Source organism: Homo sapiens, assembly GCF_000001405.40.
Source record: "Homo sapiens chromosome 16 unlocalized genomic scaffold, GRCh38.p14 Primary Assembly HSCHR16_RANDOM_CTG1".
NCBI lineage: Eukaryota > Metazoa > Chordata > Mammalia > Primates > Hominidae > Homo > Homo sapiens.
In genome coordinates this window covers 1,449,274-1,473,542 of record NT_187383.1, presented here as the reverse complement: position 1 = coordinate 1,473,542, position 24,269 = coordinate 1,449,274, and the positions used below count along the sequence as shown (strand labels likewise).

Sequence of the window (24,269 nt, the reverse complement as noted above, 5' to 3'; positions counted from 1 at the left end):
TGGCCCATTCTGTAGTGTTTGAGCCCTTCCAGGACTATGGCTTCTCTAGGGCAGCCCCTCTTCAAAAGCTGTGCCCCCCAGGTAAGCTCCAATGGCATCATTTCTTCCCTTTACCTTTTCAGGCCTGGTGCCTCAACATCCTTTTTTGATGCTTTTAACTCTGCCCACACATCTGTAAATAGTCCCTTTATTAAAGGGACTTTTATCTCTTCAAAAATCCCCACATAATATTCTGTTTCTTGCTGGGATCTTGACTAACACAGGAACTTTCCGTTTAGTTGGGATAAGACTATGGGTACCTTATAATTTATCATCCAAGCCAGGACACTTCTGAGAGTGAAAGGGGGCACTATTAATTAAACCATGGCAATGGGTGCAAATCAGAACTGTTCCAGGCCACCTGGAATGAATGAGCATCCTAGGTAAGTCAGGCACATAAAAAGATAATTGTTATAATGAAGAGATAAAAACATTTCTAAAAGAGATAATATTACCACATAGATTAAGGTAAGTGCCAAGGGTGGAATAGACTTTCAGTGCTACAGCCATTCCAAGACGAGAGAGATTATTTCTCCTGGGGAAAGACATTTGAGATCAGCGGGTTGCTCAGTTCTCCTCCAACTAAATGAAGTCACACAATCCATGTGTGCTTGGCCGATTTTGTAGATTTTCTCCAAGAAATTTCAGTCCCAGTTGGGTCCCCCCCTCCACCCCTCACACACCCAGTGTAACTGTTCCTATTTCTTTCTATTGTTTAGGCGCTGGGTTTTTAAGGAAAGCAAATTAATTTAAATCTTAGCCAATTATTCCTTTTAAAAAATACCAAATGCATTCCTGATTCAATTATAAATCATTGTAAATATCTTATATTTTTGATTCTTTAAACCATGTTTTAGCTTCATTTTGCAAAGATATCTAAGAGGTGATTTATAAGCTTTGCTTGCAAATACAAACATTTCTGCTAGTAATCACATAAAGCCTAAGTAACCCTAGAAAGCTTCTCTATGTATATATGTATGAATGTTTACCTTGTCTCTTAAACAAAAGAGTTTGACAATTAACCAATACTCTAAAGCCTTGTCACCCTGAGCAAAGTGAACTCAGACTCATTGCACCCCTACTCCTAGCTGATTCAAGGCTACTTGGCCAGGAAATGTTTCTAATGCTCACGTTGCTAGCAGAAGCAAGTTACTATGAGCCCCAGTGTGTGACTTCAGGCTTGCCAAATCACTGCTTTGTTCAGGCATTTCATACTCAAGAGAATACTATATAAAAACACCCACACCCCTGCCCAGGAGCAGAGAGCACCATGTAGATTAGGGCAGCCAGAGTTCCTGCTCTACTTCCCAACCAGCTGGTGCTGGTTAGGATTAGACCAGTGGGAGTTGGGGTTGAAAAGATCCCTCTTGAGAGAGTCAGAAAGGGTCCTACAAGAACAAGACAAACAGGAAAAGAAAGCAGTAACTAGAGACAAAAAGCAATGGCAGATGTGCAAATCACACACAGGAAATAGCACAAATCAACACAGATAGTGTCAATAAATGCAAATAGTGTCAGATATTGAACCAAGTAGGTCCATGCTATGCCCAACATCAGAGAAAACAGTTAAGTATGCCCCACCATGTACCTGAAAGGCAGATAGCTAGAAGGCTTTTGCTATTGACACTAGCAAGACTCTATCTCAAACAACAACAAAAAAGTCAAATAGAGCTTTAAACCTGAATCATTTACATCTTTACTTTATAAAATGTAAAACTACTTTTTTACCCAAGACTTAAAATATAGAATTATGTAACTTCTACTTTAAACAAAATGAAAAATGTTTTGAGTATCAAACGGTATATTATCTACCTTGTAGACAGCATCTTCATCTAACACTGCCACTGTGTTAGCAATTCTTAAATGATATCAAACTAGAAGAAAAGCTGCTCCTACATTTTTTTTATTTAATAAGACAAATTTGGCACTAGACTTTTTCTAGAAATAGCATTCATAGTATATCGATATAATAGTAACATCTTGTTTTAGGTTAATGAATTCCTATTAGGAAGCAGCACTTTGGGACAGTTTTTAGTGACACCAATTTAATTCTATCATTATAGTCCTCTGACCTGCCTTAATTCCAGGATCATCTGAATTCTAGGTTAAGGAATGATTATTAGCCAAACCTGGAAACAACTACAAATTGTACTATTATAGGTAACCCCAATTTAATAGTGACTAAGAGTCATAATTGTCACCATTAAAAATAGCCGTATTTCATATCTTCAACACTATTCTATTTACAATACTTTATATAATAAATAACTTATAGCAATATAGTAACAGGCCTCAAAAACATTCTTTTTTCACTAATTCCTAGAGGTTTCTTGGTTACTTTCCTTCATAAAAACACATCAAATGTGAGTTTACACTATGAGAAAAACAGGATTTGAGAATAGATAGATATTTTCCATTATGGCACAAATGTTTAAGGCTGAGTCAGCACCGGAAATGTTCGGGGCCTGAACGTGTTTGTTTCCTCACATTAGTATGAAGAACTGTCTGAGTTGAGAAGGCTGAAAGGGGAGGGCAGCTTCTTCTTGACCTGAAGCCGTGCAGCCCCGACCGATGGGAGGCACAAGGTGCTGGCTGACTTCTGTCTGTTCTTTCTGGTGCCCCAACTCAGGAAGGAAAGCTTCTTGGAGATTTTCTGGGTTTTATCAGTTTTGTCATCATCATCAATGGCTAAGCAGATCATGGAGTACGTTTTCTACATTCCCACGGAGTATGTGGCACTCTTATTATGCTGCACATAGAAAAGAAAGAAAAAGGGCGTCAGGCATCATCAAGATAGATGATACAAACTACGAAGTCTGGCCAGGCGCAGTGGCTCACACATGTAATCCCAACACTTTGGGAGGCCGAGGAAGGTGGATCACTTGAGGTCAGGAGTCCAAGACCAGCCTGGCCAACATGGTGAAACCCCATCTCTACTAAAATACAAAAATTAACCAGGTGTGGTGGTAGATGTCTGTAGTCCCAGCTGCTTGCGAGGCTGGGCACGAGAATCACTTGAACCCAGGAGGTGGAGGTTGCAGTGAGCTGAGATCGCACCACTGCACTCCAACCTGGGCGACAGAGCAGGACTCTGTCTCCAAAAAATAAATTAAACAGACATAATTAGGAAACTCAGGTGACCAATGCTTATATAGAATTAGGTTCTTAAAACAAGGACAAACTGTTTTTCTTTTTTGAGACAGGGTCTTGCTATGTTGCCCAGACTGGTCTTGAACTCCTGGGATCAAGTGATCTTCCTGCCTTGGCCTCCTGAGTAGCTGGGGCTCTAGGTGTGTGCCACCAGGTGCAACAAGGATAATTTTTTGTTTGTTTTTTGTTTTTGTTTTTGTTTTTTAAGACGGAGTCTCACTCTGTCACCCAGGCTGGAGTGCAGTGGCACGATCTCAGCTCACTGCAAGCTCCACCTCCCGGGTTAATGCCATTCTCCTGCCTCAGCCTCTCTGAGTAGCTGGGACTACAGACGCCCGCCACCACACCTGGCTAATTTTTTGTATTTTTAGTAGAGAGGGGTTTCACCATGGTCTTGATCTCCTGACCTCGTGATCCACCTGCCTCGGCCTCCCAAAGTGCTAGAATTACAAGCATGAGCCACTGCGCCCGGCCCAACAAGGATAATTTTTAAGGAATGTACTCAATAGTAACAATTTAAGCTTAGGAGCCACAACTCACATTTTAAGGTTCTTCTTCTATTTGAGAAAGTAATAATTACTAATGGTCACGAATATGAAAGTACAGGGTGGGGTGCGGTGGCTCACGACTACAGTCCCAGCTACCTGGGAGGCTTAGAGGGGAGGATTGCTTGAGCCCAGGAGGTTGAGAGTATAGTGAGCTGTGACTGTGCCACTGCACTCCAGCCTGGGCAACAGAGTGAGACCTCTGTCTCAAAAAAAAAAAAGGGTAGGGGGGACGGGAAGAGGGGAAAGGAAAGGGAAAAGGAGAAGGGAAGGGAAGAGGGGAAGGGAAGGAAAAAAAAAAGAATATGCAGTGAGCAATAGGTCTGTCACCTGGGGTTCTAGGCCCTCCATGTTATACTTCTAGAGATGATGTGCATGTACAGGTATTTTTGTATGTACATAAGTATATTACCATTCATTTTCTTAAAAGGAATAAACTACACTATTCTACACCTGATTTTCTTTTTTCTTTTTTTTCTTCTTCTTTTTTTTTTTTTTAAGACGGAGTCTCGCTCTGTCGCCCAGGCTGGAGTGCCATTTTCATCATTTTCAAGTGTAGAGTTCAGTGGCATTAACTACATTCACATCATTATGCTCCACTGCCACCATCCATCTCTAAAACTTTTTCATCTTCCTCAGCTGAAACTTTGTACAATTAAACACTCTCTACTATTAACTTTCCAAGAATCATGTAGGATTCAAACTGGAAATCTAAGGAAGCTTGCTTTCTGAAGACTTCCACATGGGCTATCGCCAGCTTCTAAGGTTTGCCTAACATTGAGATTGTTTAGTTCGCCACATGTTTATTGATGGTCTACTATGTTCTGGCACTAAAATTAGGCATACAATATATCGCTGCAATAGTTGAGGACATTGTTCCTAATATAAACCCTAAGAGGGGCCGGGCACACTGTCTTACACCTGTAATCCCAATACTTTGGAAGGCTGAGGTGGGTGGATCACTTGAGGCCAGGGGTTCCAGACCATGGTGGCCAACATGGTGAAACTCCATCTCTACTAAAAATACAAAAATTAGCTGGGTGTGGTGGTGCACACCTGCAATCCCAGCTACTCAGGAGCTGAGGCAGAAGAATCACTTGAACCCAGGAGGCAGAGGTTGCAGTGAGCCAAGATCACATCACTGCACTCCAGCCTGGGCGATGGAGTGAGACTCTATCGCCAAAAATAAATAAATAATGAATAAATAAATAAAATAAACCCTCAGGAATCTGAGTTATGCAGCAATAAAGTAGGGGGTACTTTGAGCCCCTAAGGATGGAGATGCCTCTTCCTTTTCTGGAAAACTGACCACTAACTCCACCATGTTTTACACAATGTCATTTAAAACAATAATAAAACGAATAATCCTGGAGACAGATGTGAGGCCTGAAAGAATTTCCCAACCCTCAGCTGCTCAAAGTCCATTGTGTATCAAAACCACTGCCTTATAAATACCCTCAGTTCTCTTCCATCTGCCCCCAGCAATGCTAACTCGCTCATCTCCACCCTCTGCCTCCCCTAGGGCCTGTATCTGAAAGGTTGTTCATTGCTGGAGGACACTCACCAAGGCTTCCCTTGGAATTCTAACCTGACCCCAAACCTCTAATAGGCACCCATTTCCTGGCACTCTTGTGTGTCCCTAGTAATTTCATTTCCTTTTCTCCTGTATTCTTGTTTCTTATCTTCACTCTCCTCCTGAAGCCACTCACGCACCCTCCTGAAATCCCTGCCGTATACTTCATGGCATCCATCCCCCAAGACCAAGCCCTTCTGTGTGCCTGGATCCCATTCCCTCTCTCCTCCAGGCACCCTTGCCTCCCAGATCTCTACACACACACACACACACACACATACACACACACCCCTCTCTCTACACACACACACACTCCTCTCTCTACACACACACACCCCTCTCTCTACACACACACACACCCCTCTCTCTACACGCACCCCTCTCTACACACACACACACACCCCTCTCTCTACACACAAACACACACACACACTCCTGCAATGCGTACCATCACATTCTTTGAAAAGCCTTTCTTGGCTGGGCGCAGTGGCTCACGCCTGTAATCCCAGCACTTTGGGAAGCCAAGGCGGGCGGATCATAAGGTCACGAGATTGAGACCATCCTGGCTAACACAGTGAAACCTGCCTCTACTAAAAATACAAAAAAATAGCCGGGCGTGGTGGCGGGCACCTGTAGTCCCAGCTACTCGGGAGGCTGAGGCAGGAGAATGGTGTGAACCAGGAGGTGAGGCTTGCAGTGAGCTGAGATAGCGCCACTCACTGCATTCCAGCCTGGGTGAAAGTGAGACTCTGTCTCAAAAAAAAAAAAAGTAAAGCCTTTCTTGACCTTATTCCCCTCCAGGTCCACCCCAGTATCATACCCACATACACTCTCTCTCACTCCGGCAATGAGTACCACTACTTTCTTTGAAAAGCCTTTTTTTTTTTTTGAGACAGAGTCTTGCTGTCACCAGGCTGGAGTGCAGTGGCCCAATCTTGGCTCACTGCAACCTCCACCTCCAGGTTCAAGTGATTTTCCTGCCTCAGCCTCCCAAGTAGCTGGGATTACAGGCACATGCCACCATGCCCAGATAATTTTTGTATTTTTAGTAGAGTCAGGGTTTCACCATGTTGGCCAGGTTGGTCTTCAACTTCTGGCCTCAAGTGATCCACCTGCCTCAGCCTCCCAAAGTGCTGGGATTACAGGCTTGAGCCACTGTGCCCAGCTCCATTTACTATTTCTTTCCACGCCACCCACTCCTCACTCAAATCCACTGGGGTATCCCTCTAGAACTCTTAGGACTTTATAGAGCACAGTTTAAAACCACTGTGTAGGCCTAACCCTTCCATCCCCTGGATGAGAAAACCAAGGCCCAGGGAAGGTATGAACGTGCTGAAGGTAACACAGCTTGTGAACGGCAGTCAGGGCCTAATTCCAGAGCTTGATTCCAAGCTTAGATTTGTTCAGCTAGGGATCCCCACTGTAGTCAAGAGGGTAGCCAAGGGCAGCAGGTCATCGGTTCAGCCAGAGTGCTAGGATAAATGCTCTCTTTATTTGATTTTGTTTGAAAGGTTCAGTCACTAAAAACAGTGCTTGGCTGTCATTATCTAAAATCCTTATCATAAAAATTAATAGACAAAAATAAATTATTTTTTAAAAATTATTTTTAAAAAGCCAGGGGCTGGGCATGGTGGCTCACTCCTGTAATCCCAGCACTTTAGGGAGGCCAAGGCAGGCTGATCACCGGAAGCCAGGAATTCAAGATCAGCCTGGCCAATGTGGTGAAACTCCATCTCTACTAAAAATACAAAAATTAGCCAGGCATCATGGTGGGTGCCTGTAATCCCAGCTACTCAGGAGGCTGAGGCAGGAGAATTGCTTGAACCCGGGAAGCGGAGGTTGCAGTGAGCCAAGATTGTACCACTGCACTCCAGCCTGGATAACAAGAGCAAGACTCTATCTCCAAAAAAAAAAAAAAAGAGCCAGGTACAGTGTCTCACACCTGTAATCCCAACTATTCGGGAGGCTGATTCAAGAGGGTCTCTTGAGGCTAGGAATTCAAGATCAGCTGGAGTAACTCAGTTAGACCCCATCACTACAAAATTAGTTAAATAAAAGACAAAAGGAAATTACTTTTGGCCTGGTGCACTGGCTCATTCCTGTAATCCTAACACTTTGGGAGGCGGAGGCAGGAAGATTGCTTAAGCCCAGGAGTCTGGGACCAGGCTGGGCAACAAAATGAGAGTGTCACTACAAAAAAAATTAAAAATTAGCTGGGTATAGTGGTGCACACCTGTAGTCGCAGCTACTTGGGAGGATCTTTTTTTTTTTTTTTTTTTTTTTTTTTTTTGAGATGGAGTCTCCCTCTCTTGCCCAGGCTGGAGTGCAGTGGCATGATCTCGGCTCACTGCAACCTCTGCCTCCTGGGTTCAAGCAATTCTCCTGCCTTGGCTGCCCAAGTAGCTGGGATTACAGGCACCCACCACCTCCACACCCAGGGTTTCACCATGTTGACCAGGCTGGTCTAGAATTCCTGACCTTAGATGATGAGAAGGGAGGACCTTTTGAGCCCTAGAACTCGAGGCTGTAGTGAACTATGATTGCACTATTGCCCTCCAGCCTGGGCAACTGAGTGAGACCCTGTCTCAAAACAAACAAAACAAAACAAAAAACAACAACAAAAGAAATTATTTGGCCGGGCATGCTGGCTCCTGCCTGTAATCCCAGCACTTTGGGAGGCAAGGTAGGCGGATTGCTTGAGCTTAGAAGTTAGAGAACAGCTAGGGCAACACGGTGAAGCCCCATCTCTACAAAAAAATATGAAAAATTAGCTGAGTATGGTGTTGCATGCCTGTAGTCCTAGCTACTCAGGAAGCGGAGGTGGGGGGATCACTTAAGCCCAAGAGTAAAGGCCACAGTGAGCCAAGATCGTGCCAGGGCAATGAGAGCGAGACCCTGTCTCAAAACAAAAAACAAACTTTTTTTTTTCTAGACAGGGTCTTACTCTGTCGCCCCAGCTGGAGTACAGTGGCACGATCTCGGCTCACTGCAACCTCTGCCTCCCAGGCTCAAGTGATTCTTATGCCTCAGCCTCCCACGTAGCTGGGACTGCAGGTATGCACCACCACATCCCGCTAATTATTGTATTTTTAGTAGAGACAGGGTTTTGCCATGTTGGCCAGGATGGTCTCGAACTCCTGGCTTCAAGTGATCCGCCTGCCTCGGCCTCCCAAAGTGCTAGGATTATAGGAGTGAACCACTGTGCCCAGCCTAAAAACATTTTTTTTTTGAGACGGAGTCTCGCTCTGTCGCTCAGGCTGGAGTGCAGTGGCGCAATCTCAGCTCACTGCAAGCTCCGCCTCCTGGTTTCACACCATTCTCCTGCCTCAGCCTCCCAAGGAGCTGGGACTACAGGCACTTGCCACCACGCCCAGCTAATTTTTTGTATTTTTAGTAGAGATGGGGTTTCACCGTGTTAGCCAGGATGGTTTCGATCTCCTGACCTCGTGATCCACCCGTCTCAGCCTCCCAAAGTGCTGGGATTACAGGCGTGAGCCACTGCGCCCGGCCTAAAAACATTATTTTTAAAAAAATTAAAGACATCCTGCTGGGTGAAAAGAATAAACATCATGATCATGGTTATCATCATTATAATGCCTATTGTGAATTGAAATGCAGCTCATGTTTGGCCCTCTTGGAAGGGCTTTATGTAAACTCAGTTTATCCTGAGGCTCACAGCTATTCACTGACTTGCTGAAGGCCACACAACAGTGGTGGAAAGCCAGGATACACATCTAGACTGTCTCAGTGCAGAACCCTTGCTTTTAGCTACTACAGCAGCCCCTTCCTTGGCCTGGTGTAAAGATGTCACAGGCTTGAAAGTCAAGCCTTTGCACCTCTCACAGGGGGCAGGGCATGCCCCATAAACTCAGGCCTCTGCTGACGGGGTCCCTACTCCAACCTTCAGTATGTGGCTCGGCTCTTTTCTCTAACCTCCTTTTGGACAAACTTCTTTTCTGTTTCTGCTGTGGACCTTAATCACTTGTCCATAAACTCCATGCATTTTGTCCCTAAAAATATAATTTCTTATGATCCCTTCTCCCAAGATGCTCTGCGTCCCTTGACTTTATCTTCTTTTAAAATTTGAACTATATCAGGTGCGGTGGCTCACGCCTATAATCCCAGTACTTCGGGAGGCCGAGGTGGATGGATCACGAGGTCAGGAGTTTGAGACCAGCCTGACCAATATGGCGAAACCCTGTCTCCACTAAAAATACAAAAATTAGCCAGGCATAGCAGTGCCCGCCTATGATCCCAGCCACTCGGGAAGCTGAGGCAGGAGATTCACTTGAATCCTGGAGGCAGAGGTTGCAGTGAGCCAAGATCACGCCACTGCACTCCAGCCTGGGCGATAGTGCGAGACTCCGTCTCAAAAAAAAAAAATTTTTTTGAGATATAATTCACATACATGCATAAAATTCACCATTTTAATACCCTTCTGTGGCTTTTATTTATTATTTTTGAGACAGGGTCTTGCTCTGACACCCAGGCTGGAGTGCAGTGGTACAATCATAGCTCCCTGCAGCCCCAACCTCCCTGGGCTCAAGTGATCCTCCGGCCTCAGCCCCCCAAGCAGCTGGGACTACAGGTGTGTGCCACCATGCCACGCTAATTTTTTTTTATTTTTTGTAGAGACACGGTCTCGCCATGTTGCCCAGGCTGGTCTCGAACTCCTGGGCTCAAGCGAACATACAGCCTCAGCCTCTCAAAGTGCTGGAATTACAGGTGTGAGCCAGTATGCCAAAACATCAGTGATTTTTTAGGATATTCACAAAGTTAGGTGACCATCACTACTACCTAATTTCAGAATATTTCCATCCCCCCAAAAAGAAACCTTCTACCTTATGACCCTTCAGCAGTCCCTCCCTACTCCCATTGCCCAGCCCCAGCACCATCTACTTTCTGTCTCTGGATTTGCCTATGCTGAGCATTTCATATCCACGGACTCAAAATCCATTGGCTCTCTGGCCCTCTCTCAACTGACTTCTGTTGCCACCTCTCCACCAAAGTGTCTTTTCATCCTGCTGCCAAATACAATAGGCACAGCTAAGCCAACCTCATTCTCCACCTCTCAACTGCATTCAATGCAACCCATCACTCTCTCCTGCAGAGCTTTCTCCTCTTAATTTGAGAAGCTCCTTTCCTCCGACATCTCTGAACTCTCCTGCATTTTCTTTGCACTTGCTTCTCTTCCAACTGACCTCTAAATGTTTAGCCCTCAGCCCTAGCCCCCTTGCAGGGAGCTGCATTTTGTCTCACAGCCTCAAATATCATCCGTGTGCAATGATTCTCAAGTATTTATTTCTAGCTCTGATTTCTTCCTCGAACTGAAGACTTCACATCCAGTCTCCTCCTTTATGCTTATGTCTGACTGCTAATAGCATCTGAAACATTCAAAACACGACTCTTGATTTCTCTCTCCTTCACCTCCCTCACACCCATTACCCATCATTATGAAAAATAACCAGGCCGGGCATGGTGGCTAATGCTTGTAATCCCAACACTTTGGGAGGCGGAGGTGGAAGGATCGCTTAAGGACAGGAGTTTGAGGCCAACCTTGGCAATATATCAAGGCCCCATCTCTACCAAAAAAAAATTACAATAGGTAAATAAACAAATTAGCCAGGCATAGTGGTACACACCTGTAGTTCCAGCTACTCAGGAGGCTGAGGCAAAAGGATTGCCTCAGCCCAGGAAGTCAAGGCTATAGTGAGCTATGATTGCACCACTGCATTCCAGCCAAGCAACAGAGTGAGACCCTGTCTCAAAAACAAAACAAAACAAAACAAAAAACAAACAAAAAAACAACAAGAGAAAAATGAAATTAAAGGTAGAAAAATAACCACTACCCATGAGATTGATCAAGCCAAAAACTGAGGCCTCACCTCCCTGTTCACTGTCTCCTTTACACAAATCATCCACAAATCCCCCATCAGCTCTACCTCCAAACTATGTCCCAGGGACACTCATGTCTCTCCAACTCTACAGCCAACCCCATCACCTCAGCCACTAACTTCACCAGCCTGGACAACTGCCATGGCCAGTCTCCGGCAGCAGACGCCCTTCTAAAACAAACATCACGCCATGCCATTCCCCTTCTGAAAATGCCCAGTGGCTTCCAAGCTCCCACCACTGCCGCCAAGGCCTCCTTCCTACCTCACTTCCCATGGCTCCCTTCCTTGTCCTGGTGCTCTTGCCAAAAGGCCTTCCTTTTGCCTCTCTGGTAGGAGAAGGTTATTCTGCTGCAGGGGCCCTGTACCTGTAGGTGCCCCTGCCCAGAAGGCCTTTCTTGTCTCTCTGCAACTGGCTCGAACCTCCTGGTCACTCTCATGTCTGTTCCAGCCCTGCCTAGATAGAGCCTCGCCTCCTCTCCAGTCATTCCACCCCATTACAGGTCTTTTTTCCTTTACAACACTTATCAAAATCCTGACCATTTATTTACTGACTTAGTGCCAGCTTCGTGGGGAGGGGCAGGGACCTTACCTGTGTAATGTAAACTGGAGCTCTGACACCTAAGAGAGTGTCTGGCACCCAATTGATCCTCAATCAATATTTGTTGAATGAATAAATGAGTGTTGTTACAGAGGGAAGGTCGAGGGTACGGCATTAAGTGTGGCAAAGTGCAGAGGAGAACGTCATTAAGTGTGGCATGAACCCTAGCACTTGGGGAAAATTTTAGGGTTTTTTTGCAGACAGAGTCTCACTCTGTTGCCCAGGCTGGAGTGCAATGGTGCAATCTCCACTCACTGCAACCTCCACCTCCCAAACTATTCTCCTGCCTCAGCCTCCTGAGTAGCTGGGGTTACAGGCGTGCACCACCATGCCCAGCTAATTTTTATATTTTCAGTAGAGACAGCGTTTGCCTTGTTGGTCAGGCTGGTCTTGAACTCCTGACTTCAAGCAATCCACACACCTCAGCCTCCAAAAGTACTCAGATTACAAACATGAGCACCGTGCCCGGCCTCACGTGGGGAAAATTAAAGGTGGTAACTGTGCAGGTGAACTTGAGAGACTCAAATGCTTCCCAAATCTCCCAGAACATGGCTGACACTGCCTCTAGGGCATACAGAGGGATTGTCTTAACTTTCACAGGTCGTCTTAAGCTCTTCTGTACCATTAGAATTTTTTTTTGTTTTTTGTTTTTTTCACTATGAGTATGTATTACTTTTGTAATTAAACAATTTGATCAGAAAAATAGATCAGTTGATTATTTTATCCACAGGATATTTTTAAAAGTTTGCTAGCAGGGTGCAGTGGCTCACACCTGTAATCCCAGCACTTTGGGAGGCCAAGGTCAGAGGATGGCTTGAGCCCAGGAGTTCAAGACCAGTCTTGGCAACACAGCGAGAACCTGTCTCTACAAAAAATAAAGAATGGGCTGGGCATGGTGGCTCACACCTGTAATCCCGGCACTCTGGGAGGCCGAGGTGGGTGGATCACGAGGTCAGGAGATCGAGACCATCCTGGCTAACACAGTGAGACCCCATCACTACTAAAAATACAAAAAATTAGCCAGGCGCGTTGGCAGGCACCTGTAGTCCCAGCTACTTGGGAGGCTGAGGCAGAAGAATGGCGTGAACCTGGGAGGCAGAGCTTGCAGTGAGCCAAGATTGCACAACTGCACTCCAGCCTGGGCGACAGTGCGAGACTCCGTCTCAAAAAAAAAATAAAATAAAAAATGAATAAATAAATAAATAAAGAATGAGCCAGGGGTGGTAGTGGGTGCCTATAATTCCAGCTGCTTGTGTGGCTGAAGTGGGAGGATCACTTAAACCGAGGAGATAGAGGCTGCAGTAAGCCATGATCATACCACTGCAAACCAGCCTGGGCAATAGGGCAAGACCCTGTCTTTAAAAAGAAAAAGTTTGCCAATTTTCTCTTTGACCCAAGGTGAGCACATTACAGTGATTACAAGCCTGGGAGTCCAGTCATTTGTACCATGTTACACAGGCAGGAGACAGAGGGTCTAGTAAACACCCCTGGGGCTGAACTCATGTAGATTTCACTCCACACCACTACTGACTGCCCAGGCAGGTGTCAGTGCTCACCACGGATGACGTGGAGTCCAGGAGGCTCACGGCTTTCATCTCGATCTTGTCCTCACCAAAGCTCTTCAGCAGCTTCATAACCTCACTCACCGTCAGCCACTTACAATCCACAAGCTGAATGGAGACAATATAATCTCCTTCCCGGGCTCCTGCCACCTGAAAAAGTATTGTTGAAAATAAGTCAACGTTTTGTTCACTCAAATCCTTGAATCAGTCCCCATTAACAAAATAGGTATTTGCATAAGTTCACATCAAGAACGCAAAAATTCATGTTGGGTGGCTGAGACGGGTAGATCACTTGAGGTCAGTAGTTCAAGACTAGCCTGAACAACACGGTGAAACCCATCTCTACTAAAAATACAATAATCAGCCAGGTGTGGTCGTGGGCACCTGTAGTCCTAGCTACCTGAGAGGCTGAGGCAGGAGAATTGCTTGAACCCGGGAGGCAGACATTGCAGTAAGCCGAGATCGTGCCACTGCCCTCCAGCCTGGGTGCAATTAAAAAAAAAAAAAAAGTCAAAATTGGCCAGGCACAGTGGCTCACGCCTATAATCCTAGCACTCTGGGAGGCCAAGGCAGACAGAATATTTGAGGCCAGGAGTTCGAGACCAGCCTGGCCAACATGGCAAAACCCCGTTTCTACTAAAAATACAAAAATTAGGCCAGGCCAGGTAGCTCACACTTGTAATCCCAGCACTTTGGGAGGCCGAGGTGGGCAGATCACAAGATCAGGAGATCAAGACCATCCTGGCTAACACGGTGAAACCCCGTCTCTACTAAAAACACACAAAAAATTAGCTGGGCATGGTGGCACACACCTGTAATCCCAGCTACTCAGCAGGCGGAGGCAGAAGAATTACTTGAACCCAGGAGTTGGAGGTTGCAGTGAACCAAGATCGCGCCACTGCACTCCAGCCTGGGCGACAGAGCAAAAATGTGTCTCAAAAAACAAAAACAAAAACTAAAATTAGCTGAGTGTGGTGGCACGTGCCTGTAATCCCAGCTACTCAGGAAGCTGAGACAGGAGAATCACTAGAACCCAGGAAGCAGAAGCTGCACTGAGCCCTGAGATCGTGCCACTGCACAATCACGACTCACTGCAGCCTCCACCTCCCAACGTCTAAAAAAAACTAAAAACAAAAAAAAGACAGTAAAAATTAATCCTTTTCTTTTAGGGACTGTAGCACCCATGAGGCCTTTCACATCAAGTCAGGCCTTTGACATGGGTGAACCCGCCCTAAATTCAATCACCCAGATATCTGTGTTTGCTGCCAACCAAGAAAAGCATGTGCTTACCGAGGAAGAGCAGTAAGGATCCAGGAAGTGAACCTCAATGGGGGCATTCCCTCTTAAGGAGAACCCCAAGTCCCCTTCTTCTGCAGTGAAGCGGATGCTTCGAGGAGGCGTCTACTGCTTGTTAGCCAAAAACACAGATAAGGGGCCCTTTGGAAGAGAGCATCATTAGGTGTAGGATTTGAAGGCTGGATCAGACACTTGAAAGCTAAAGGGAATTTTGCCTGCTGTCCTTGAAGATCTCACTTGGCCTTGTTCAGGGACAAATGACACATCTGGGGGCATACATGCTACAGCAGTCATGCGAGAACCTGGAAAGCCATCTTCTCAAACATACCCAATATATTTACAATAAAATTATCTTTTAGACATTGTATTAATTATCTTTTTCTTTTTTTTTTTTTTTGAGACATTGTCTCGCTCTATCGCCCAGGCTAGAGTGTGGTGGTGTAATCTCAGCTCACTGCAGCCTCTGCCTCCTGGGTTCAAGCAATTCTCCTGAGTAGCTGGAATTACAGGTGCGAACCACCACGCCTGGCTAATTTTTGTATTTTTAGCAGAGATGGGGTTTCACCATGTTGGCCAGGCTGGTCTCAAACTCCTGACCTCAGTTGATCAGCCTGCCTCAGCCTCCCAAAGTGCTGGGATTAAAGGCGTGAGCCACCACACCCAGCCAAAATTATCTTAAATAAAATCTCTAATATAAACAATTTAAGACCAGACATGTCTTGCCTGTAATCCTAAGCACTTTGTGTGACCAAGGCAGAAGGATTGCTTGAGGCCAGGGGTTTGAGACCAGCCTGGGCAACATAGTGGGAACCATTCTCTACTAAAAACATAAAAGAATTAGCCAGGCATGGTGGTGCACGCCTATGGTTCCATCTACTCAGGCTGCTGAGGCAGGAGGACTTCTTGAGCCCAGCAGTTCGAGGCTGCAGTGAACTGATTGTGCCACTGCACTCCAGCCTGGGTGAAAACAGAGTTAGACCCTGTCTTAAAAAAAAAAAAAAAAAAGGAAAAAAAATCTCAGGTCAGGCATAGTGGCTCATACCTGTAATCCCAGCACTCTGGGATGCCTAGGCAGGAGGATGGTTGGAACCCAGGGTTTGAGACCAGCCTAGGCAACATAGCAAGACCCCATCTCTACAAGAAATAAAAATTAGTTGGACGTGGTGGTGTGTGCCTGTAGTCCCATCTACTAGGGTAGCTAACGCAGGAGGATCACTTGAGCCCAGAAGGTTCAGGCTGCAGTGAGCTATGATCATGCCACTGTAATCCAGCCTAGGTGACACAGTGAGACCACATCTCTAAAAAAAGTTAAAAAATATTTTAAAAAATTTTAAATAGACAATACCTAAAAACTACTTTTAAAATATGCTGTGGGGCCGGGCACAGTGGCTCAGGCCTATAATCCCAGCACTTTGGGAGGCCGAGGTGAGGGGATCACTGGAGCCCAGGAGTTCAAGATCAGCCTGGCCAACATGGTGAAACCCTGTCTCTACTAAAAATACAAAATTAGCTGAGCGTAGTGGCAAAGGCCTGTAATCTCGACTACTCGGGAGGCTGAAGCTGGAGAATCACTTGAACCTGGGAGGTGGAGGCTGCACTGAGCTGAGATCGCACCACTGCACTCCAGCCTGGGCAACAGAGTGAGACTCTGTCTCAAAAAACAAATAAAAATAAGTGCATAAAATAAAATATGCTATGGTCTGAATGTTTGTACCCTCCCAAAGTTTGTATATTAAAATATTAAAATTTTATTAATATTTATTAAAATTTAAAATGTATATTAAAATCATCAATGTAATTATTAGGAAGTGGGGCCCCTTGAGAGGTGATTCAGTCTTGGGGTTGAGCCCTCAAGAATGGGATACATGCTTTTAAAACAGGCCCAAGGGAGCTCATCACCTTTTCTGCCATGAGGACACAGGTAGAAGGCCCTACCTATAAACCAGAACATGGGCCTTCAGCAGATACCAAATCTGCCCATACCTTGGTCTTGGACTTCCCAGCCTCCAAAACTGAGAAATATATTTCTGCTGTTCATAAGCCACCCAGTTTGAGGCATTTTGTTATAGCAGCCCACATGGACTAAGACACCATACTCGCCAAAGTGAAGAGCTGTCCCCTTCGGTCATTTATGTAGAGAGCTTTCAACATACCAGCTTCTAGAAGAAGTCCGTGACTGTCAGCTTGGAGAACTGGGGTAATATAATGTCAGCCTCTTGCTCAGTTTTAGCTAGAATAGAGGATTAGAAATGGGAGGATAAATGTTTCTGTAATTGAAAGTGATCCTTATAGCCCGGTGTTGTGGCTCTCGCCTGTAATCCCAGCACTTTGGGAGGCCGAGGCAGGTGGATCAATGAGGCCAGAAGTTCAAGACCAGTCTGGCCAGCATGGTGAAACCCCGTCTCTATTAAAAATACAAAAATTAGCCAGGTATGGTGGTAGGCGACTGTAATCTGAGTTACTTGGGAGGCTGAGGCAGGAGAATCACTTGAACCCAGGAGGCAGAGGTTGCAGTGAGTTGAAGTCTTGCCACTGCACTCCAGCCCGGTGACAGAGTAAGACTCCAGGGGGGGGGAAAAAAAAGAAAGTGATCCTTGGGAATGAGACAGTACAGAACTTTCTCTTAGTCACACATCCTTCCCCTCGGTTTAGACAAGTAGTACAAGAAGATGGAACACAGCTCAAACCCCGACCTAGGCTGAACTCTACCTTCCATTTGGGTACCTCATGTGAGCCATAGGAGGTATAACTCATTCCTGAGCTGGGACCAAGGAGTGATAACCAGACACATTCCCATGGGGTTTCCTGATATTTAAGGGGCTTAGTGGGCTTCTCTGGCACTCATAAAACCCTAATGAGGAGGCTGGGCATGGTGGCTAATGCTTGTAATCCCAGCACTTTGGGAGGCCGCGGTGGGAGGATCATCTGAGGTCAAGAGTTCAAGACCAGCCTGGCCAACATGATGAAACCCCATCTCTACTAAAAATACAAAAAATTAGCCAGACGTAGTGGCATGCGCCTGTAGTCCCAGCTACTTGGGAGGCTGAGGCTTGAACCAGGGAGGCAGAGTTTGCAGTGAGCTGAGATCACACCACTGCACTCCAGCCTGGGTGACAAGAGTGAAACGACCTCTCAAAAACAAACAAACATACAAACAAACAAACAAACAAAAAACCTATTGAGAAGTCATCTATGTTTCAAGCGTTATTGTTATGGAAGTTCCATGCCTCACTGGACACAGTCCTGGGATACTGAGCTTTCTGTTTTCAACATTATTTTTATTTTGAGACAGGGTGTCGCTCTGTCGCCCAAGCTGGAGTGCAGTGGTGCGATCACAGCTCTCTTGCAGCTTGACCTCCTGGACTCAAATGATTCTCCTGCCTCAGCCTCCCGAGTAGCTGGAACTATAGGTATGCACCACCATACCTGATGAATTTTTTTTAAATTTTTTGTAGAGATGGGGTCTCACTATGTTGCCCAGGCTGGTCTCAAACTCCTGAGCTCAAGTAATCCTCCTGCCTCGGCCTCCCAAAGTGCTGAGATTAGAGTTTTGGGCCACCGTGCTTGACCTTTTCATTATTAATGTGGTATGAGGATTTCCCAGTGAAAAGGAGGTTTGGCAAGTCATAACCATTGACAGCTACATACCCCCACCAGCATCTTCACAGCAGGCTCGGACTACCCTTAACATAAGGCTGGTCAATTTCTAACAAAGGATCCCAGGGCAGGCTGATTCTACAAACAGCATAAAAAGTGTATCTAGGTCAGGTGTGGTGGCTTACTCTGGTAATCCCAGCACTTTGGGAGGCCAAGGCAGGTGGATCACTTGAGGTCAGGAGTTCGAGACCAGCCTGGCCAACATGGTGAAACCCCATCTCTACTAAAAATCCAAAAATTAGCTGGGTGTGGTGGTGGGCGCTTGTAATCCCAGCTCCTCGGGAGGATGAGGCAGAAGAATCACTTGAACCCGGGAAGCAGAGGTTGCAGTGAGCCGAGATCATGCCACTGCACTCCAGCCTGGGCAACAGAACGAGACTCCATCTCAAAAAGAAAAGAGAACTCCAGGGCAAAATAAGCACCTCGGTCCCTGCCCTGTGCAGCCCTCCCTGTGCCAAGCACACAGCAAGGGCTTGCTCAACCCCCACAGGCCAGGCGTACTCTTTCCGCGGCACAGGCACCCCCACAGAGGGAACACAGTCTAGGTTACTCACCAACAACACTGGGGGCGTCGATCAGGTTCAGCAGGTCATCATCCTCCTGGTGCTGGGCGTACATGAGCCGGGAGCGTTCCTGTGCTGCACACAGCACCTTCTGTAGCACCTCAATGCTCTGCAGCTTCTTGCAGAGGCTGGCCTCCTGCACTGACTCCTCGTGATGAGCCATGGCTCTGCACAGGTGGGACTTCCCTGCAGACGGAAGCCAGCACCCACGTGACTTGGAGATCCACCAAACAGAGCATAAGGGCCCAAAGGGCAGCCCAAGAGGTTGGACGTTCTCTTTTCTAAAGGATCTGCCTGGATAGCTAGAGCCCGTGATACCCTACCTTGTTTTAACCTGAGTGACTCTCTCCTAGCAGAGAGAGACAGACAGACTACATTTTAGTTTCTTCACTTGCAGCCCCCTTTATCCCCCTTAAGGGAATAACTAGTGTAAGCTGACTCCAAGCACACCCAGGAATGCAAACTGCTGATAAGATACTGAGGCAGGCTGTACCAGCAGCTCCTGGGGATGTGCTCAGTGGCAGGTACCTAAAGCCCCTGCATTTATCTCTTAGTGATAGTTTAAGCACCTGCACCTGGAACTGTTTATTTTTTGTAACTGCTTCTATAACGAATTACTTTTTTAACTTTTTGCCTATTCTACTTCTGTAAAATTGCTTCAGTTAAACCCCCCTCCCCTATTTAGGCCACAGTATAAAAGAAAATCTAGCCCCTTCTTCAGGCCCGAGACAATTTCGAGCATTATCCGTCTCTCGGTCACCGGCTAATAAATGACTCCTGAATTAGTCTCAAAGTGTGGCGTTTCTCTACAATTCACTTGGTTACAACAAGCCTTTTATTAAAATATTATTTTATTTCATTTTATATTTTATATTTAGAGACAGGGTCTCACTTTGTTTCGCATGCTGGAGTACAGTGGTGCAATCATGGCTTACCGTAGCCTCAAACTCCTGGGCTCAACTGAAATTCCCGCTTCTGACTCTTGAGTAGCTGGGACCACAGGCATGCACCACCACACTTGGATAATGTTTTCATTATCATTATCATTTCATTATCATTGCTATGTTGCCCAGGCTGGTCTCAAACTCCTGGCCTCAAGCAATCTGCCTGCCTTAGCCTCCCAGAGTGCTGGGATGACAGGCGTGAGTCACCGCGCCCAGCCCAAGCCTCCCTTAAATGCATATGTAATAAGCTCACTTGTGTCCATAAGATGTTCACTCAACAAATATTTACCAAATGTGCTGGGCACTAGAGATAAAGCAACGAGTAAACAAACTGCCCCCACATTCATGGAGTTTACATGTAGTGGTTGAAGACAGATAACTAACAAGACAAGAAATATGTAATGGATGGGGTGGTGATGAGGTTATAGAGAAAAATAAAGCAGGGTAAGCAGAGATGGTAAGAGAAGACTGGGAATGGGGTTGTCCTATGATGGGTGACCAAGAAAGGCTTTTTTTTTTTTTCTTGAGACGGAGTCTCACTCTGTCACCCAGGCTGGAATGCAGTGGCACGATCTCGGCCCACTGCAACCTCTGCCTCCCAGGTTCAAGCGATTCTCCCACCTCAGCCTCCCAAGTAGCTGGGACTACAGGCACACACCACCACATCTGGCTAAGTTTTTGTATTTTTGGTAGAGACGGGGTTTCTCCATGTTGCCCAGACTGGTCTCAAACTCCTGACTTCAAGCCATCCTCCCACCTCAGCCTCCCAAAGTGCTGGAATTGCAGGCATGAGCCACCACACCCAGCCAAGGAAGGCTTTGTGATATGGTCCTTTTTGAGAAGAGCCCTGATGGATGTGAAAGAGCAGCAGGTGCGAGGGCCCTGGAGCAGGGGCACGCACAGGTGTTCAAGGGCAAGGAGGAGCTAAGGTGTGCCTGAAGGTGGGAGAGAATGAGTGCAGGGAAGGAACAAGGCCAGATCATGGCGGATCTCATGCGTGCGAGATGAGGGCTCTCACTCCTGTTCTGCGTGAGATGGGAGCCCACTGGGGTGTGAGCAGGGGACTGATGTGATCTGGCCTGCATGAGCAGACTCTGAAGGGGCAGCAAGAAAACCAGCTATGAGCAGGGCAAGCCACGTGACCGCTCTGGGTCTCAGTTTCCTCAGCTGTAAAATGGGGATGCCATGAGACCCACCTCATAGTGTTGTGTGGGGTTTAAGTGAGTAAATGTTTCTTACATAAGCACTGTACACATGTGGCTTCCACCAGGGCAGCAGGGTTAAAGTGGCCAGATTTGAGTGTGTCTTCTAGGTACAGCCAAAGGGATTTGCTAATCAAATGTAGGGTGAGAAAGTAAGACAAGAGGTTAGGTGTGGTGGCTCGTGCCTGTAATCCCAGCACTTTGGGAGACAGAGGAAGGAGGATCGCTGGAGGCCAGTAGTTCAAAACCAGCCCGGGCAACATAGTGAGACCGCATCTCTACAAAAACCTTTCTACAATATTAGCCGGGCATGGTGGTGCACGCCTATAGTCCCAGCTACTCAGCAGGCTGAGGCAGGAGGATCACTTGAAGCTCGGAGTTCAAAACCAGCCCGGGCAACATAGTGAGACCGCATCTCTAAAAAAACCTTTTTATAATATTAGCCGGGCATGGTGGTGCACGTCTATAGTCCCAGCTACTCAGCAGGCTGAGGCAGGAGGATCACTTGAAGCTCGGAGTTCAAAACCAGCCCGGGCAACATAGTGGGACCACATCTCTAAAAAAACCTTTTTATAATATTAGCCGGGCATGGTGGTGCATGTCTATAGTCCCAGCTACTCAGCAGGCTGAGGCAGGAGGATCACTTGAAGCCAGGAGTTTGAGGCTGCACTGAGCTGTGATTGCACTACTGCACTGCAGCCTGGGGGACAGCAAGATGCTGTCAAAGAAAGCAAATGAAAGAAAAGGAAAGAGGAAAGGAGGGAGGAAGGGTAGATGGGGAGGAGAGAAAGAGAGAAAGGAAAGAAAGAAAGAATAAAAGAGAGAGAGGAAAGGAAAGGGAAAGAAAAGGAAAGCAACAAGGAAAAAGAAAAGGAGAGGAGAGGGGAGGGGAGAGGGGAGAGGGGAAGGGTGAAGGGAGAGGAGGAAGGATGAGAGGAGAGGGGAGGGGAGAGGAGGGGAGGGGAGCAGAGGGGAAGAGAGGAGAGGGGAGCAGAGGGGAGGGGAGGGGAAAGAGGAGGAAAGAAAAGAAGACTGGAGAGTGAGTCCAAGGTTTCTGGCCTGAGCACCTAGAGGGGTGGGAGTTGCCATCACTGAGACGGGGAAGCTGCGTATGTGTGCGTGGGGGCAGATTAGGGTGGTGGAGGTGAGGTCTGCACATGGGAAGAGATATTCACACTGAGACATGGCAGAGACCAAACCAGGACACTTCATTACCAGTCATTAGGTGTTCTTGGGAATTCAGCCATGCATAAGGAAATCAACAAACGTCTCCTTCCCTGTTAGCATGATACAGGCCACCCTGTGGACCCCAAGGGAGATGGTTAAAGTCCTGGCTCCACAGGGGGAGGCCTGGGTGCTATGGAACCCATGAGAACACAGCCTGGGAAGCCCTCTGAGGCTCAGGACTGTGCCTCATGACTTCCGAACCCAAAGTGGCCACGATGACTTGGAACACCCCCCTCTCCCGGGCCCTCTTCAGGGACCTCTCTGTGGCTGTCTGTGAGCAGGACCAGCTGGTCACCAAGTGGGACCCACATCTGGGTGCAGAGGGACATGCACCCAGCTGTTGGCGCTGCTGATCATTCTTCAGTGTGGCCAAGGGTGTCAGCCCCTCTGGCATGTGGTCGTAGAGCTGGGACAGGCACTTCTCCTGGTGGTCCAGATCCGTGCCTGGCTTCACTGCAAAGAGAACCACAGGTTAAATCCCCTCTCATGGACCTGGCCACAGACCCACATAGAGATTTCTCTTTCTACCATGTCTCTAGTTTCCTTTCTTCTGCAGTTTCACAAGGCATTTGGGATCATGGCTCTCCTTTCTGCCCCTGGACACACCCCAGGCAGTCTGACCCTCAAGCTTTTTTTTTCTTTGAGACGGTCTCACTCTGTCACCAGGCTGGAGTGCAATGGCACAATCATATTTCACTGCAGCCTTGAACTCCTGGGCTCAAGTGATCCTCCCACCTCAGCCTCCTGAGTAGTTAGGACTACAGACATGCACCACCACACGCCAGGCTAATTTTTAAATTTTTTTGTAAAGATAAGTTCTTGCTACATTGCCCATGCTGGTCTCAAACCCCTGGGTTCAAACGATCCTCCTGCCTTAGCCTCCCAAAGTGCTGGGATCAAATGTGTGAGCCACCATGCCTGGCTACCCCGAAGCTCTTGCTCACTGGAACCAGTCATGCTCCAGAGGTTCAGAGGTTCAGAATTTTTTTTTTTTTTTTGAGATGGAGTTTCGCTCTGTCGCCCAGGCTTGGGTGCAGTGGTGTGATCTTGGCTCACTGCAACCTCCACCTCCCGGGTTCAAGTGATTCTCCTGCCTCAGCCTCCCGAGTAGCTGGGATTACAGGCATGTGCCACCATGCCCAGCTAATTTTTCTATTTTTAGTAGAGACGGGGTTTCAGCATCTTGGCCAGGCTGGTCTCAAACTCCTGACCTCATGATCCACCCATCTCGGCCTCCCAAAGTGCTGGGATTGTAGGCGTGAACCACCACACCTGGTGAGGTTCATAATTTGACCCTGAGCCCCCACACACTACCTCCTCTGACTCACCCACCACACAGAACCTCCTAGCACAGCCCAGACCCTGTCATGCCTGGCCTGCACCCCTCTGCAGTCCTGCACACCTGCAGCAGAGCCCCTTCCTGCTTCAACCACACCCTCCCTGGTGCATATCCTGCTCTCAAACCTCACAAAACCACTCTCCACTTCCCCAGCACCCTCGGCCTCTGTTCCTGTGCTCAGACACTTTACTCCCTCTAGGCTGACCCTTCCCTCCTGTGCAGATGGAAAAGTTGAACTCAAATGTCACCGCCTCTGAGAAGCCATCAATGACTGCACCATGGAGTCCACCTGCTGCTGCATTTGTGTCTCTGCAGCAATCACCAAGGCACTATATGGTATTTCTATTTGTTTCAACATCTTGTCTCGCCTAATAGACTATATAGTACTAGGAGTGGTGGCTCACACTTTCAGAGAACCTACAGCATATAAAGCATTATTGAGCTTTGCATACAGGCCCTTCATTTTCATGACAGCCTGTGAGGTAGATTCTCTCCATATACCCATTTTACAGATGAGAAAATCGAGGCAGAGGACAGCTAAGTAACTTGCCCAAGGTAATACAGCTCATTCATGGCAGAGCTGAGATATGAACCCAGGAAGTCTGGCTCCAGAGGCTGTCTTTTTAATTCCTCGGGAGGCTGCCTGGATTAGTACTTATTAGATCAAAAATCCCTGGCCA

The 24,269-nt window shown here is 47.0% G+C and overlaps 1 pseudogene; it reads right to left on the bottom strand.

The window, feature by feature from the left end:
* Nucleotides 1–1,928: 1,928 nt before the first annotated feature.
* The window catches only part of LOC647211 (rhophilin-2-like), a 51,164-nt pseudogene continuing 28,823 nt past the window's right edge, over nucleotides 1,929–24,269 (bottom strand).